The sequence below is a fragment of the Homo sapiens genome, chromosome 5, assembly GCF_000001405.40.
Source record: "Homo sapiens chromosome 5, GRCh38.p14 Primary Assembly".
Taxonomy (NCBI): Eukaryota; Metazoa; Chordata; class Mammalia; order Primates; family Hominidae; genus Homo; species Homo sapiens.
In genome coordinates, this window is record NC_000005.10 from 138,179,112 (window position 1) to 138,197,035 (window position 17,924).

The 17,924-nt window shown below is 43.3% G+C and overlaps 2 protein-coding genes across 2 annotated transcripts in view, besides 1 other annotated feature; one reads left to right on the forward strand and one right to left on the reverse strand.

Annotated features, from left to right (window-relative positions):
* On the forward strand, positions 1-8,612 carry KIF20A (kinesin family member 20A). Its single transcript, NM_005733.3, has 19 exons — positions 1-91; positions 549-734; positions 2,311-2,400; positions 2,498-2,617; positions 3,212-3,350; positions 3,475-3,662; positions 3,750-3,879; positions 4,058-4,252; positions 4,359-4,470; positions 4,577-4,645; positions 4,851-4,994; positions 5,128-5,293; positions 5,401-5,565; positions 5,696-5,835; positions 5,984-6,086; positions 6,401-6,599; positions 6,850-6,941; positions 7,183-7,320; positions 7,985-8,612. Exons 2-19 carry the CDS (start codon positions 570-572, stop codon positions 8,300-8,302), a joined length of 2,673 nt encoding a protein of 890 aa, NP_005724.1. The 5' UTR covers positions 1-91; positions 549-569; the 3' UTR covers positions 8,303-8,612.
* Positions 1,405-1,534: an enhancer, noted in NCBI's record as "active region_23195". NCBI's record gives its function as "activates an Ori minimal core promoter by ATAC-STARR-seq in GM12878 lymphoblastoid cells {active_cell/tissue: GM12878}" and the evidence as "EXISTENCE:reporter gene assay evidence [ECO:0000049][PMID:35858748]".
* Positions 8,539-17,924, reverse strand: part of CDC23 (cell division cycle 23) — a 25,674-nt gene continuing 16,288 nt past the window's right edge. Inside the window, exons 10-16 of the mRNA NM_004661.4 lie at positions 13,393-13,546; positions 13,158-13,277; positions 12,751-12,826; positions 12,363-12,424; positions 10,717-10,795; positions 10,522-10,641; positions 8,539-10,037 (exon numbers count right to left, since the gene is read on the reverse strand). Of these exons, the coding sequence (NP_004652.2) occupies positions 9,867-10,037; positions 10,522-10,641; positions 10,717-10,795; positions 12,363-12,424; positions 12,751-12,826; positions 13,158-13,277; positions 13,393-13,546 (782 nt within the window). The 3' untranslated portion in view covers positions 8,539-9,866. The remainder of the gene's footprint in view (positions 10,038-10,521; positions 10,642-10,716; positions 10,796-12,362; positions 12,425-12,750; positions 12,827-13,157; positions 13,278-13,392; positions 13,547-17,924) is intronic.

A 17,924-nucleotide genomic window follows, 5' to 3' on the forward strand; every position in this document is an offset into this window, starting at 1 on the left:
GGAGTTGTGCTCTGCGGCTGCGAAAGTCCAGCTTCGGCGACTAGGTGTGAGTAAGCCAGTATCCCAGGAGGAGCAAGTGGCACGTCTTCGGGTGAGTGTGCGGCTGTGCTGGAGCCCGGGTTACCAGCTCTTGCCCGCGCGGAATAGGCTTTAAGAAATCGGAGCTGCAGCCATCTGTTTTTCTCTTAATGCTGCATCTCTGTTCTCACGGTGGTCCTTGGGGTGAGGTTAGAGAAGGAGCCGAGGGATCCTGACACCACCTCCACAGCACCGGCGGGCGAGGTGCCCTACTTTAGGCGTAGCCTTCTGCTTTTGGAGCCAGATGTCTGTGGACTTCTGTTCGCGTTCAGAAATGCCGCCTCAAACTTCTCTCAATTGTTCATTAAGTGAACTTCTCTCATTCCCTTCCCCTTTGCCGATAATTGGAGGGGAAAAGAAGTAGGAAGCGGGACACGGTGTCCTGGGGCAAGGGACTTATTACCTAAAATTCGCGGCCCCTTCTGTCCCTAAAGGTTCTTCTCCCTGCCCACTTTTTGGTCTCTTTTTAGACCTAGGCTGCCCCTGCCGTCATGTCGCAAGGGATCCTTTCTCCGCCAGCGGGCTTGCTGTCCGATGACGATGTCGTAGTTTCTCCCATGTTTGAGTCCACAGCTGCAGATTTGGGGTCTGTGGTACGCAAGAACCTGCTATCAGACTGCTCTGTCGTCTCTACCTCCCTAGAGGACAAGCAGCAGGTAAAGGAACTGGGGAGTGGCTGGGGCGGAAAGTGATATCCTCAGGCCAATAATTGTCCATACAGGGTAGTATGAGGTCAAAGACTAGCAATCCTAAAGGTCTGAGATCAATTCAAAATTAAGGGCATTTAGGACAAAATGGCTATGAAAAGAAAAAAAGAAAAAAAAATTAAGGGCATGACAAGTAAAAAAAAAATTGAGTTGTGTGTCCAGAAGAACTATAATTTGCATTGCATTAATGAAATAGCCTCAAATGCATGCTCTTAGTTAATCTTTCAGGGAATAATAGTTATCTCTCTTTGCCTTGAGGCCCAGTTGTGCTAAATAATTTGCACAAGGTCATATAGGCATTATGTAAGTGGAATGTATGTTCAGGTTTTAATAGTATCACCATAGCTTCAATTTGTTGTAGGTTTCCTGCTAGGCCAGGGTTTCTCAGTTACAGCATTATTGACATTTGGGGCTAGACAGTTCTTGTAGGGATCTGTCCTGTACATTTCAAGATGTTTAATAGCATTCTTGGCATTTACCCACTAGATGTCAGTAGTGCCTTCCCATTTGTGACAATCAAAAAATGTCTTCAGGCACTTCAGGCATTGCTAAATGGCCCTTGGAGTGGAAATGACCCTGGTTGAGAAACACTGTACTAGGTCCTATGCTAAACATTAACATACATTGTCAGATTTTGTGCTCTTATAGAGTTTCTCTTAGAGACTTATAAAGTTCCATGAGAGCATGGTCCTTGATGATGTCTCTCACTATGGACTATCAGAGCTTCTCGGTTCCTAGGCCATAGTAGACACTCTAAATATCTGGGTTTTTTTTGTTTTTTGGGTTTTTTTGTTTTCGAGATGGAGTCTCGCTCTGTCCCCCAGGCTGGTGTGCAGTGGCACAATCTCTGCTCACTGCAACCTCCGCCTCCCGGGTTCAAGCAGTTCTCCCTGCCTCAGCCTCCTGAGTAGCTGGAATTACAGGCACCTACCACCAAGCCCAGCTAATTTTTGTATTTTTAGTAGAGATGGGGTTTTGCTGTGTTGGCCAGACTGGTCTGGAACTCCTGACCTCAGGTGATCCACCCTCTTTGGCCTCCCAAAGTGCCGGGATTATAGGCGTGAGCCCCTGCACCCAGCCTCTAAGTATCTGTTGAATGAATGACATAGGTGCTATTATTAACCCCATTCTGCAGATGAGGAAACTGAGGCCAAGAATTTCAAGAACTCATAATTCAAGGTCTCATAGTTACTAAGTCATGGAATTGGGACTCAAATTCAAGTGTTTGCCTCTGCTTTGCTTTAATATCACATACTAATTTTCATACCAGTCAATAAATTCGAACTCAGATCATCGGTGTGGCAAGCCACATTTGCAGGATAATGACGAGACAGGGAAGGGTGACAAAGTAGTAAAAATGTCCATGTGGGTTGGAATGATTGTGGAACCAAAGAGTAGCTGCACAGAGACATTTGAGGTGAAATGGGGTAGTGTTATCATAGTTCCTAGAAACTACTGTTTGCCCATTTGCTCAGAGGTAACTGCTGAAATTAATCTGTGGTTCTGGGCTGGGATTCTGCCACAGGTTCCATCTGAGGACAGTATGGAGAAGGTGAAAGTATACTTGAGGGTTAGGCCCTTGTTACCTTCAGAGTTGGAACGACAGGAAGATCAGGTAAGTGTCTGAGAAGGGAGGATTCAAGGTGAAATGATGCAGTACAAAAGATTCCCAGGAATGCCTTCTGTGACAACTGTATTTTCTCCCTTCTCAGGGTTGTGTCCGTATTGAGAATGTGGAGACCCTTGTTCTACAAGCACCCAAGGACTCTTTTGCCCTGAAGAGCAATGAACGGGGAATTGGCCAAGCCACACACAGGTTCACCTTTTCCCAGGTATGGAGGGTACTGGTTTGTGAACAAAAGACCAACATGTAAGGGCAACTTTATTCCCTCTTTAGAGGGAAAGCTTCTCTTCCTGACTGTGAGTTCCTTGTATATGCACACCTACAATTTTGAGGGCCCTAGTTATGTGTTAGTCAATGTGTCAAGTAACATATGTATATCAGTTCTGAAAAATTCTATTGTTATTATCATTATTTCCTTATTTTCCTCACAAGGATAGTGTGGCTCAATGAATGTAATATTGCTGAAGCCATGTAGCTAGTCACTAGTAGAGTTAGGACCTGAGTCTAGATCCATGTATCTCCAAAGCCCATACTTGTGGGCCATTATATTGCCCCATTGTGTGTGCAGCATCAGGCCTAGGGCATAGCATTCCTTAAGTGTTTGTTGATTTGGTGGAAAGATGGACTAGCAGAGAGTGCTTGAGTCCTCAGTGTTTAGGGAACAGCCAGCAGCATTGCAGGAAGAAGCTGCTTGAGTGGTCTCCAGAGCCAACCACTCAGGAAGGAATATATCTGCTGGCTCTGCACAGGAGGCAAGTGGGAGATGAAGGAGAGGCCTCTAAAAAACTGGGTCTCTCTCTAGATCTTTGGGCCAGAAGTGGGACAGGCATCCTTCTTCAACCTAACTGTGAAGGAGATGGTAAAGGATGTACTCAAAGGGCAGAACTGGCTCATCTATACATATGGAGTCACTAACTCAGGGAAAACCCACACGATTCAAGGTGAGTAGTAAGCCTTCACGGGATTCCTGATTGGCTGGTAATGGTGTTGTTTTTACCTTTTGAGACTCTGAGTTAGGGGGAGAAGGGCACTTGCCTCAGCTGTCCATCTTTCATATGCCTCCAGGTACCATCAAGGATGGAGGGATTCTCCCCCGGTCCCTGGCGCTGATCTTCAATAGCCTCCAAGGCCAACTTCATCCAACACCTGATCTGAAGCCCTTGCTCTCCAATGAGGTAATCTGGCTAGACAGCAAGCAGATCCGACAGGAGGAAATGAAGAAGCTGTCCCTGCTAAATGGAGGCCTCCAAGAGGTAAAGCATTGGTATCCATGGCAGTGGGGGTAGGGGGTACAAATCTCGGGGAAGTTTTGTGCTTACCTTCTCCCTGTGCCCCTCCAGGAGGAGCTGTCCACTTCCTTGAAGAGGAGTGTCTACATCGAAAGTCGGATAGGTACCAGCACCAGCTTCGACAGTGGCATTGCTGGGCTCTCTTCTATCAGTCAGTGTACCAGCAGTAGCCAGCTGGATGGTATGTACCGTGACTGGGCTCTGCCAAAAAATAGTAGGAACTCACTCCCTGTTCCTAATAGCTGCCAGGAGTACAGACCAGAGGTTGCAATCTAAGGTCTGCCTTCCAAGGCCCCTGCAGGCCAAAAGAGAGGTGAACTGCTCTAGGTTGATGCCCTATACATTGGCTTCTTCTCCAGAAACAAGTCATCGATGGGCACAGCCAGACACTGCCCCACTACCTGTCCCGGCAAACATTCGCTTCTCCATCTGGATCTCATTCTTTGAGATCTACAACGAACTGCTTTATGACCTATTAGAACCGCCTAGCCAACAGCGCAAGAGGCAGACTTTGCGGCTATGCGAGGATCAAAATGGCAATCCCTATGTGAAAGGTAAAGGAACATGGGGAAAGCTGGCATGAACCCTGGAGGGCAACTGGGGAGAGACTGGCAAAAGAGTTGGATGTTCCCATCTTACACCCCTCTCCTTTGGCCCCAGATCTCAACTGGATTCATGTGCAAGATGCTGAGGAGGCCTGGAAGCTCCTAAAAGTGGGTCGTAAGAACCAGAGCTTTGCCAGCACCCACCTCAACCAGAACTCCAGCCGCAGGTGAGTAGATTGTAAGAATAAACTCTTCACTGTGTTCCAGGAAACATTAGTCCTCTGCCTGGTCATGGAAAATGTGCAATGACTTTTTGTTTTTCTTAACTTCCAGTCACAGCATCTTCTCAATCAGGATCCTACACCTTCAGGGGGAAGGAGATATAGTCCCCAAGATCAGCGAGTAAGTTTATCCATTTAGAAATTTGGGCTTCTTGGCCATAAATGATAGTTGGGAAAGCATGGAGGAGGTCCTCAGGGGAACTATGTGTTCTCCTTCTTTGGGTACAGAGATTCTTAGTGGGCCGTCCCCTCTCCAGAATTATACAAAGGGCCAGAAGGCTCATAACATGTGAGGCCCTTATGTCAGATCCTGTGCATCATTCTAGGCTGTCACTCTGTGATCTGGCTGGCTCAGAGCGCTGCAAAGATCAGAAGAGTGGTGAACGGTTGAAGGAAGCAGGAAACATTAACACCTCTCTACACACCCTGGGCCGCTGTATTGCTGCCCTTCGTCAAAACCAGCAGAACCGGTGAGCTTTTGACTATAATTCCTGGGCTCTGCAATTTGCTAAGAGACTTCCTGGACACCACTGGGGATGGTGCTAGGATACCCAAAGGGCTGGTGTTCTGCTCACAGCTCTATTATCTCTGATTCTCTGCCAGGTCAAAGCAGAACCTGGTTCCCTTCCGTGACAGCAAGTTGACTCGAGTGTTCCAAGGTTTCTTCACAGGCCGAGGCCGTTCCTGCATGATTGTCAATGTGAATCCCTGTGCATCTACCTATGATGAAACTCTTCATGTGGCCAAGTTCTCAGCCATTGCTAGCCAGGTGAGAAGCTAGAGGTGTGATGGGTGTGCGCACTTGGAACTGGTAACTCTAAGAAAGCTCCTAGGGACTACTTATGGAGTCAAGTAAGATATTTTTTTTCCCTCTAGCTTGTGCATGCCCCACCTATGCAACTGGGATTCCCATCCCTGCACTCGTTCATCAAGGAACATAGTCTTCAGGTATCCCCCAGCTTAGAGAAAGGGGCTAAGGCAGACACAGGCCTTGATGATGATATTGAAAATGAAGCTGACATCTCCATGTATGGCAAAGAGGTGAGAATACAAGAAAGCTTTAGTGTAGCAGCTTAGTAGCTACACATTTTTCCATGGTGCCTTCCAGGTGGGCTTGTGCCTTCTGAGGGCATGAGCATCTGATGACCTCTGACATGTGTGTCTCTCCTAGGAGCTCCTACAAGTTGTGGAAGCCATGAAGACACTGCTTTTGAAGGAACGACAGGAAAAGCTACAGCTGGAGATGCATCTCCGAGATGAAATTTGCAATGAGATGGTAGAACAGATGCAACAGCGGGAACAGTGGTGCAGGTACTAGCTGAGTGACCCCTCTTGCTCTGTCACCTGAGACAGAGGGTGGGAAGTAAGGAGTTAGGTGGAGTTGTGCCTCAAGATCTGTTCCCCAAGTTCACTCCTCAGAACCTTCACTTACCTCTCTTTTCTCCTCTGTTTCTGACAGTGAACATTTGGACACCCAAAAGGAACTATTGGAGGAAATGTATGAAGAAAAACTAAATATCCTCAAGGAGTCACTGACAAGTTTTTACCAAGAAGAGATTCAGGTGAGTTGCCCTGAGCCAGCTCCAATTAGCTGCTCAGATTTCCATCACTAGCTTGCCTGAAGTAAAGAGATTTTATAAACTACTCCAGTAAGGGCAGGAATATATAACTCCCTTTTCTCTATTCCCCATAGTGCTTTGGGTTCAATCTATGTTTGGTGAATTGATTAAGGGTTTAGTTGGCCAGGAAATCGTATTAAGTGCTAACAACAGGTTTTCAAGGGATCAGTGTCACAAGTGCTTTGTTTGTTCAGTCATCTGTCTTAGCAATATTTTTCTGGCTCTGCAAAGAATTGTGCTCTCTGCTTCCCTCTTAGGAGCGGGATGAAAAGATTGAAGAGCTAGAAGCTCTCTTGCAGGAAGCCAGACAACAGTCAGTGGCCCATCAGCAATCAGGGTCTGAATTGGCCCTACGGCGGTCACAAAGGTTGGCAGCTTCTGCCTCCACCCAGCAGCTTCAGGAGGTTAAAGCTAAATTACAGCAGTGCAAAGCAGAGCTAAACTCTACCACTGAAGGTGAGGAAAGAGACAGGCAGGAAACATAACAGTGGTTCAGGGAAGAGCTGTTACTTAAACCCAGGCCTTCTAACTCCTGCTCTAACATAATTTCCTAAACTGCAAGCTACATCCCCCTGACATTTCAATCTAGGATACACATAGCCTCACTTTTTATATTTGCTGCAAGCTACTGTTACCTCAGTTAAAGAGGTTAGTCCAAGGCTAAAAAAACCCCACATATTTTAAGTTTCCTGTTTCCTTCCCTCAGAGTTGCATAAGTATCAGAAAATGTTAGAACCACCACCCTCAGCCAAGCCCTTCACCATTGATGTGGACAAGAAGTTAGAAGAGGGCCAGAAGGTAATTACCACCATTCTCTGTTTACCAAACTCTTACCTAAGGCAATTTCCCACATCCAACACTCTATCACTGGTTCATGTGAAGACAAGATGTTTTTTGTGCACAGTTCTGGAGAGTGGCTATTTCACTCAGCTGACTAGCCTTTCTAATTTTACTTCTCTTCAAATGGCTACCTGACCCCTCCAGATCATTATCCTGGTTGCTCTTGGCCACAATATGATTCCTACTTCCCCTTTTTCAGAATATAAGGCTGTTGCGGACAGAGCTTCAGAAACTTGGTGAGTCTCTCCAATCAGCAGAGAGAGCTTGTTGCCACAGCACTGGGGCAGGAAAACTTCGTCAAGCCTTGACCACTTGTGATGACATCTTAATCAAACAGGTTAGGGCAAACTATATACCCACTTCTGTCCTACCAGCCCACTCCAGTGTATATGTGAGAAAGGAAAGAGGACCAGAAGAAAAAGGTAAAGATTTTTAGGCTGAATTTATAGTGAGAGCAGTATATTTGCAAAATAAAAATAACTATTCTTTGTTAAGCATTTACTAAGTACCAGGCACTGTGCTAAGTAATTTATAGGCATTTTCTGTCACAACCACCTTAGGGAGGTAGTTACTGTCATATTTCATCTAAGATGCTACTGATTATAAGAAACCATTATTTTATGTACTACTAAGAAAAAAGTAACAATTTCTCATCAGTAAGATGCATCCTGATTCCAAAGAGATTAAAATGTTAAAATTGTGTATCTTAAACTAAACTCAACATTTAATTTGACATTTAGAGACTGAGGCACTTAGAAATTAAATTTACTCAAGCTCATACTACCTTATGTGTTAGAAGATGTCCTATTCAGCACTGCTTATGTTTTGTTCTCAGAAAATGTCCCCTTATTCAGTTATAAGCTCCGACCTTAAAGAGTTTTAATCTTTGAAGAAACAGTTGTTAGTAACTAGTAATGGATGGTATGTATTACCCTTAGCCCTCTCGTTTCTCTAATATACCAGACAAAAGTGTTTTCTATAACTTTATTGATCTTCCTTAGGACCAGACTCTGGCTGAACTGCAGAACAACATGGTGCTAGTGAAACTGGACCTTCGGAAGAAGGCAGCATGTATTGCTGAGCAGTATCATACTGTGTTGAAACTCCAAGGCCAGGTTTCTGCCAAAAAGCGCCTTGGTACCAACCAGGAAAATCAGCAACCAAACCAACAACCACCAGGGAAGAAACCATTCCTTCGAAATTTACTTCCCCGAACACCAACCTGCCAAAGCTCAACAGACTGCAGCCCTTATGCCCGGATCCTACGCTCACGGCGTTCCCCTTTACTCAAATCTGGGCCTTTTGGCAAAAAGTACTAAGGCTGTGGGGAAAGAGAAGAGCAGTCATGGCCCTGAGGTGGGTCAGCTACTCTCCTGAAGAAATAGGTCTCTTTTATGCTTTACCATATATCAGGAATTATATCCAGGATGCAATACTCAGACACTAGCTTTTTTCTCACTTTTGTATTATAACCACCTATGTAATCTCATGTTGTTGTTTTTTTTTATTTACTTATATGATTTCTATGCACACAAAAACAGTTATATTAAAGATATTATTGTTCACATTTTTTATTGAATTCCAAATGTAGCAAAATCATTAAAACAAATTATAAAAGGGACAGAAAAATTAAGAATCAAACATCATTCTGGACCATGGGAACCTTGAAAAGGCATGGCAGTGGAGACCAGTAACTAGTATACAGCTTGCCTGAGAAGGCTTAGTAACAAATGAATTCAAGTCGTATTAGATATTCTAAACCTTCCTTAATATAAGATGAAGTGTCATATGTTAGGAGGTAAAAACGTAACACAAAATTCTGGGAATAAGAATAAAGTCTGGACCCTGAGCTCAGAATGATCCATAGCATCTACTGTGCAAATATATTACAGCAGACATTATAGCATATTACCTCCTGCTGTACACACATGCACAGGCCTGAAACTCTCCAAGAGCACCATAAGAATGATTCCCTTTACCTCATCTAGATAAAGGCTGAAAAAAATGTATTCTGTTGCAGATGGGAGGGAAAAAAATAGACAATTACGTTGAAAATTTATTAAAACAGACCAGCTTGAAGTGAGTTTATTCTTGTCTGTATAATCACCAATGTTATTTCCAAATGTCCGTGAAATTATCTATAATCCTATCTCCTTGCTTGCTTTGGTAGGAGTATAGCTAACAATATAGCCATCTTTTGCCCTCAGTAAGGGCTATCAGCAGTTCCAAGCTCTGTGAGATTATTTTTGCCCTTCTTTTATTCAACTCTAGTTGAATAAAGTTACTTCCAATTTGAAAGCTTTAGAAGACCCCCCCAAAACTGTTTTGGAAGATTGTCTCCCTAGAGAGTAAGAACAAATGGATAGCTCTATTCCATTTAAACCTAATCTCTGACATCAGAATAGGGATCATGCTCAGCAAATCCAAGAGCAAGGTCATTTGTATCCATTGCTCTGACTTCTTCCTAGGGTACTCAGTGCCCTACTGCCAGCTCAGGGTAGAGTGGCAGACTTTCCTCCTTTCTTTCACTCTCAGCAGCATTGAAACTTTGTTCCTGTAGCATTGCCTGTGCTAAAGTGCTATAAAAGGGACTTTCTTGGGGGCCAAAAAAAAAAAGCATTCAGGGAAGAAGGCCAAGATCTATAGCCACTCTTTGGACATAAGTGAGACAGAAGTACTTCTAACTGGCAAGATAATGTCTGTTCCTGCCAGGATTCTGTCAGTTGGCCTCTGAAGGTAATTATACAAGCTGTCCCTATGGAGCTGTTGCCATCTGTAGAAACAAGAAGAGCTGAGGTCCTTGGAACAGACGTGCTGTTCTTTACATGGAGGTAAGGCTTAATTAAGATGGGTCTAACAATGTGCTGGCTTGAGAGTAGCCAACTATGGCGTGACAGAAGACAAGTTGAGTGGAGAAACTCTGCGTGTGGGGGTATTGTTAGCAGAGAGTGAAGCAGGTAGGAAAAAGGGAGCAGGCACCTCGGTGGTAGGAGTCTCGCCTTGGTTCCGAAGCTGTAGGATTTGCCGGAGTAAGGCCTTACCTTCTTCCCGGGTCTGCAACAAAGTCAGGGAAATGTTTCAAAACATGTCCAAAGCTAGTCTCGAAAACAAGTTATTAAGATGCTGTTAAACAAGTTCCACAGATCAAGGAGGCGGGAGGCTTGCTTGTTTTTTTTTTTTGAGATGGAGTCTCACTGTGTCACCCAGGCTACAGTGCAGTGGTGTGATCAAGGCTCACTGCAGCCTCGACCTCACTGCAGAGGATCAAGTGATCCTCTCACCTCAGCCTCCTGAGTAGCTGGGACCACAGGCATGCACCACCAAACCTGGCAAAATTTAATTTTTGTAGAGACAAGCTCTCCCTTTTTTGTCCAGGCTGGTCTTGAACTCCTGGACACAAGCGATCCTCCTGCCTCAGCCTCCCAAAGTGTTGGGATTATAGGTGTGAGCCGCTTGCCTGGCCAAGGTAGGCTTTCCACTTAAATATCTTATGTTCTAGCCTAAAATTCAAACCTTTTATTAAAGAACTGATACTCACATCATTAAATGCACAACACTTTTGTGCACAAGTTGAAGCTTCATCCCACAGTTTGCACTTAAAATAGTACTGGGCCAGATAGCGAAAGGCAGTGCTTTCCTCCAAGTGTTCTACTATTTCCTAGAAAGGGAAAGCAAAATTACTGAGGTGACAGTAATAATATCAGCAGTACAATTCTCATGGTATGATACATACCCCACAGGAATAGATATCTTGGATATATTTGATGTAACACTGGGCAGCCTGTTCTGACTCAGTCAACTGTTCATGAAGCCTACAAAAGAAACTGATCTTTAAATACCAATGATATCCCAAAGCAACTTAGTGATAAAAAAAGTAAAAGTACATAAGACCAAAAAAAACAATACATAGGTAAGTATCAATTTTGACATAAATGACACTCTTGGAACTAGAATAGTATTAGATGTGATAGTTACTGTTATCAAAGCTTAGAATCATTACTCTGCTAATGATGGAAGGAGAGTCAGTAAATATTAATATCTAAGCTAGATAAACCATCCTTGCAAAAATTATCTAGTAATACCCAGAGTAAAGTGGCTCATGCCTGTAATCCCAGCACTTTGGGAGGCCAAGGAGGGCAGATCACTTGAGGTCAGGAGTTTGAGACCAGCATGGCCAACAAGGTGAAACCTCATCTCTACTAAAAGTAGAAAAATTAGCCGGGCGTTGTGACACATGCCTGTAATCCCACCTACTCAGGAAGCTGGAGCAGGAGAATTGCTTTAACTTGGAAGGTGGAGGTTGCAGTGAGCCAAGATCATACCACTACACTCCAGCCTGGGCCACAGAATGAGACTCTGACTCCAAAAAAAGAAAAAAAAAAAAAAAAGCTGGGCACTGTGGCTCACACCTGTAATCCCAGCACTTTGGGAGGCCAAGGCGGGTGGGTCATCAGAGATCAGGAGTTCAAGACCAGCCTGGCCAACATGGCAAAACTCTGTCTCTACTAAAAAATACAAAAATTAGCCAGGTGTGGTGGCAAGCGCCTGTAATGCCAGCTACTCGGGAGACTGAGGCAGGAGAATCATTTGAACCCAGGAGGCAGAGGTTGCACTCTAGCCTCCGTGACAGAGCAAGACTCCGTCTCAAAAAAAAAAGATAACAAGTGGCCAGGCATGGTGGCATAGGGCCATAATCCTAGCTACTCTCTAATCTGGCTGAGACCAATGACTTCAAGACCAACCTGGTCATCACAGCAAGATCCTATCTATAAATTACAAAAAAAAAAAAAAAGATACCAAGCAACTCAATTTTTTTCCTAAGAATCCAGACAGGAACCTCTTTACATTTAAGAACCTCTTTGCCTACTATTTGAGTTATTCCTAATTTTTCTGGCCCTTAGCAGGAAATTAATACTGAAAGTAGTTTGACACAAAAATGTTATCCTTTCTTCAAATCAATCTTGATCTCTTGCTTTAATAGGAAAGCAACGGCCCTCCTTCAAGAGAAGTAGCATTCTCTTTTTATTTTTTTTATTTTGAGATGGAGTTTTGCTCTTGTTGCCCAGGCTGGAGTGCAATGGCGCGATCTCGGCTCACTGCAACCTCCACCTCCCAGGTCTTGAACTCCTGACCTCAGGTCATCCACCTCCCTCAGCCGCCCAAAGTGCTAGAATTACAGGCATGAGCCACTGCACCTGGCCAGAAGTGGCATTCTCTAGGAACAAGATGGCTACATTCACAAACCAGCATTCACACACCCTGCTACATCCCTACACCTATGTAGAATGATGGGTGTATGGGAGGCTCTAGACCATGCAGGACCCACCATCCCAGAGAAGCCAACAGAAATATCAATAGCATTTCACTCCTTTCACTCACTTTGCCAGTTTCACCAGAGCCATTTTCTCCACATCTCCCACGGCGTAAGCTCTCCAATAACACTGTCAAAAAAATAAACTGGTCATTTTGACCATTGTCCCATGTGTCACAACTAAATCATATGAAGGTTAAGACCCTGCAAGCCTCCCAGAAGTTCAGATTTATAGAATGCAAGACATTTTTACTAGTTCTGATAGGTCTAGGCTACACACTGACATTCCCACTGATGACCTTGGCCCAGCTTTGCTTTCAGACTATGTATCTATAAATATTCAGACTTTCCTATGCACCTAGATCAGAATAAGGGAAAAATTAGAGCACAGATAGCCCAACCTTCATCTAAACAGCAGATTTCCACTCAAATTCTTCAGGACCCAATTTAAGGTACCTTTTTGGCTTCCACTAGTTGATTGAGTTTCTCGTAACATTCTCCTAAAGCAACCAGCATGCGAGAATCATTGGGTCTGAGAAAGAAGAACAGGCAGTCTGAGCAAAGACTTTACAGAAACTGAAGTTCTCTTTTGAGGAACCAGTACACCACTATTTCAAATCTATGCAACAACTGGTCTTTAACCTGATGCTCCATATAATAGATTACTTTGTGTTCATAATTATACTATTAACCCATTAGTGAAATATACTAAATGAAAATAACCAAACAGCCTTCAGCAACTTTAACCTCAGATCCCCAAGAGCCAAAACCATCCACTGTGATTTGTCAATAGCTATCAAAAGAGGAAAAAAAAGTTATTAGCCCTTCCCATATCAGACGCATTGTCAAGTGACCAGGCTTACCGAAGCTGGTGGGCCCGTCTATAATAATAAAGGCAGTAAAATGGCATCTTAAGGATTTCATAGGTCTGCCCGAGGCCATACCAAGCTCTGTAGTCCCGTTTGTTGACCTCAATGGCATGTCTAAGAAATGGAAAAGACAGGTTGTTAAGAAGGCAGAATCAAGGTTGGCAACTTGCAGGCTTAGAGGCTCCTAACCACAGCAATCTGCTCTACCTCACCACCTATAGATAATCACCTATAAGCCTGGATAGCAGCAGACGTGTTCTTCATCTCCATGTACTCATGTCCCATTAGTGTCCAGGCACCAAGATACCGAGGATTTAATTTCAGGGCTCTCTGGAAATATAAGGCTGCTTTCTCATGCTGAGAACGTAAACTGTAATAATTGCCTGATTAAAAATCAAACAAAAAAATGAATAATCAGAAAGGTAAAAATAAAAGTCCATTAAAATAGATAGCATTCCACCAAATGGGCGTGAAACCATAACCCATTCCCTCTAAAGTCCTGGCAAAACACCCAAATTGTACAAAAGGGAAATATTCCCTTGGGAAATATATTTCATCTGTCACACATTCCGGTTAAAAAAAAAAGTATTCTTAAACACTGCAAGTTTTTATTCCTTTTAATATCACCTGGATACAGCATTTATATACACAGTCTCTTTCTTTCTTTTTTTCTGAGACAAAGTCTTGCTTTGTCACACAGGCTGGAAAGCAGTAGTGTAATCACAGCTCACTGCAGCCTCAACCTCCTGAGCTCAAGCAATCCTCCCACATAAGGCTTTCAAGTAGCTGGGAGCACAGGCACATGCCACCAAGCCGGGGTAATTTTTAAATTTTTTTGTGGAGACAGTCTCCCTATGTTGCCAGGGTGGTCACAAACTCCTGAGCTCAAGCGATCTTCCTGCCTCAGCCTCCCAAAGTGCTGGAATCAAAGGCATGAGCCACCACATCTGGCCTATATATACATTTTCTTAGATTATGCTTTACATCGGTGGTTTTCAAACTATATTCCTTGGAGCCTAGGTTTCTAAAGAGGTACCCAGGCTGGGCATGGTGACTCACGCCTGTAATCCCAGCACTTTGGGAGGCCAAGGTGGACAGATCACCTGAGGTCAGAAGTTTCAGACCAGCCTGGCCAACATGGCAAAACCCTGTCTCTACTAAAAATACAAAAATTAGCCGGGCATAGTGGCGCACATCTGTAGTCCCAGCTACTCAGGAAGCTGAGGCAGGAGAATCGCTTGAACCTGGGAGGCAGAGGTTGCAATGAGCTGAGATCGTGCCACTGCACTCCAGCTTGGGTAATAGAGCAAAACAACATCTTAAAAAAAAAGGAAAAAAAGAGGTATGATTCTGTCTCAAAAAAAAAAAACAGGTACCTCAAGGGTTAAAAAGGTAGCATTCTGACCAGGAGTGGTGGATCACGCCTGTAATCCCACCACTTTGGGAGGCTAAGGCGGGCGGATCACCTGAGGTCAGGAGTTCGAGACCAGTCTGACCAATAGGAAGAAACTCGGTCTCTACTAAAAATACAAAATTAGCTGGGCATGGTGGCACATGCCTGTAATCCCAGCTCCTCAGGAGGCTAAGGCAGGAGAATCGCTTGAACCCAGGAGGCAGAGGTTGCGGTGAGCCAAGATCGCGCCATTGCACTCCAGCCTGGGCAACAAAAGCAAAACTCCGTCTCCAAAAAAAAAAAAAAGGTAGCGCTCTAAGTTTCCGTCTCACACAAGAATCAAAGCAGTTCTATTCTCATTGGTCTTAAAAAGTGGAAGTGAAAGATTTCAGCTGAAGAAAGTATAAGAGCCATCTGTCTTATATCAACTGGTGAATAAACAAAATGTGGCATATCCAAACATGGAATACTACTCAGCAATAAAAGGAACTACTGATACATGCTACAATATGGATGAACCTCAAAAGCATGCTAATGGATGGGAGGCTGAGGTGGGAGGATCACTTAAGGTCAGGAGTTCGAGACCAGCATGGGCAACATAGTGAGACCCTGTCTCTAAAAATAAAAAGTATCCAGGTGTGGTGATATATGCCTGTAGTCCCAGCTACTCCAGAGGCTGAGGCAGGAGAAAGCTTGAGCCCAGGAATTCACGCCACTGCACTCCAGCCTGGTGACAGAGAGAGACCGTGTCTCAAAAAAAAGCTAACTGAAAGAAGCCAGACAATAAGACTAAATATTGCAAGAATCTATTTATATGAAATTCCTGGAACAGGCAAAACTATAAAGAAGCAAAGCAGTGGTTGCTGGGGGATGGGAATGGGACTGACTGCAAATACACACGAGGGAACTTTTTGGGGTGATGGAGTATTCTAAACTGGATTATGGTAATGGTTACAACTGCATAAATTTACAAAAACTCATTGAAATGTAGACTTAACATTTTATGGTATGCAAATTATACCTCAATAAAACTATGTGTTTTTTTGGTGTCTTTTTTTTTTTTTTTTTTTTGAGACAGAGTTTCGCTCTTGTCGCCCAGGCTGGAGTGCAATGGTACGACCTTGGCTCACTGCACCCTCCGCCTCCCGGATTCTAGCGATTCTCCTGCCTCAGTCTCCTGAGTAGCTGGGATTACAGGTATCCGCCACCATGCCCGGCTAATTTTCATATTTTTAGTAGTGACAGGGTTTCACCATGTTGGCCAGGCTGGTCTCGAACTCCTGAGCTCAGGTGATCCACCCGCCCAGGCTGGTCTTGAACTCCTGGGCTCAAGTAATCCTCCTGCCTCAGCCTCCCAAAGTGCTGAGCCCCTGCACTGGCCTAAGCTATATTTTTTTTAAAAAGAATGAAGAGCTACACCAAGACTAAGAAGGATTTTCATGAAATACTGTTGAATGAGAAAACCAAAATGCAGAGTATGTATATAATATCCTATTTTTGTAAAGCAAGCAGCCCATTAAACCTTGCATATGTATATATACATATTCCTTTTAATGTGGCATGAGAACATGTTAACACAAGTAACTTAAAGGGGGAAAGGTACAGCAAGCAAAAGAAACCCTGCACTTTAAAAAATCTCCTTTATGGGCCAGGCGCAGTGGCTCACATTTTATTATTCTCCTTTTACAGATGAAGGAACTAAAGCACAGAAGGTTAGGTAACTTGTCCAAGATTACACAGCTAGTTAGTATCTAAACCAGAATTTAAAATTGGGCAATCTGGCTCAGAGTCCAAAGCTTAACTATGCTATACTGCAGTATACATATATGTAAAAAATATATATATATAAATATATATAAATTATATATATTTATATATAATATAATTATATATAATATATTTATATATAATATATTATATATAATATATATTATATATGATATATTTATATATAAATATAAATATATATACATATATAATATATATTATATACATATATTTTATATATGCATATATACATATAATATATATGCATATATACATATAATATATATGTATATATATACATATAATATATATGTATATATATACATATATTATATATGTGTATATATACATATATTTTATATATGTGTATATATATACATATATATAATATATATTATATACATATATATATAAAATAAAATGCTGCCGCTCAAGTAGAGACTGTGACTGACAGGTACAGAAGGGAGCAAGTCACATCAAGACATAAAAGCAAAAGAAGCCAGGACTAAACAAGTAGGAGATTCTTGCCATCACTCTACTCTTAAGATTGTCTCATTCTCTCAGGTCCTCAGTTTCCTTTTCTTCTCTCCATCCTTCTTTCTCCTTTTCACTTCCTCTGAACTGGCTATAATATGAAAGCTAGCGTATTATTTTTTGTCATATCTAATGTTCCCCGCTCTGATTTTTAAGGTAGGTGGGCTGAATTCAACAAACATTTATTGACTGTATGCAGAAATTTTACTGGGCATTATGGATATATTAAGGAAAAAAAACACAATTCATTAAGGAGTTCACCTCGAATGATTATTAAAAGAAAGAAAAAAGAAGCTTCTTAATAATTATTCTTCTCATATATATTGATTTTTTTTTTTTTTTGAGATGGAGTCTCACTGTTGCCCAGGCTGGAGCACAGTGGCATGATCTTGGCTCACTGCAACCTCGGCCTCCTGGGTTCAAGCAATTCTCCTGCCTCAGCCTCCCAAGTAGCTGGGATTACAGGTGCCTGCCACCACGCCTAGCTAATTTTTGTATTTTTAGTAGAAACAGGGTTTCCATGTTGGCCAGGCTGGTCTCGAACTCCTGACCTTATGATCCACCCGCCTTGGCCTCCCAAAGTGCTGGGATTACAGGCGCTGTGAGCCCCCGTGCCCGGCCTTTTTTTTTGAGATGGAGTCTCACTCCGTCGCCTAGGCTGGAGTGCAGTGGCACGATCTCGGCTCACTGCAACCTCCGCCTCCAGGGTTCACACCATTCTCCTGCCTCAGCCTCCCGAGTAGCTTGGACTACAGGCGCCCGCCACCACGCCCAGCTAATTTTTTGTATTTTTTGTAGAGATGGGGTTTCACCATGTTAGCCAGGATGGTCTCGATCTCCTGACCTCGTGATCCACCTGCCTTGGCCTCCCAAAGTGCTGGGATTACAGGTGTGAGCCACCGCGCCTGGCCTTTTTTTTTCCTTTTTTTTTTTTTTTTTTTTTTTAAATAGAGACAGGGTCTCACTGTCTAAAGCCAGATGGGGTTGCCCAGGCTGGACTCGAACCCTGGGCTGAGGCCATCTCCTGCCTCAACCTCCCAAGTCACTAAGACTACTGAAGCTAGTAA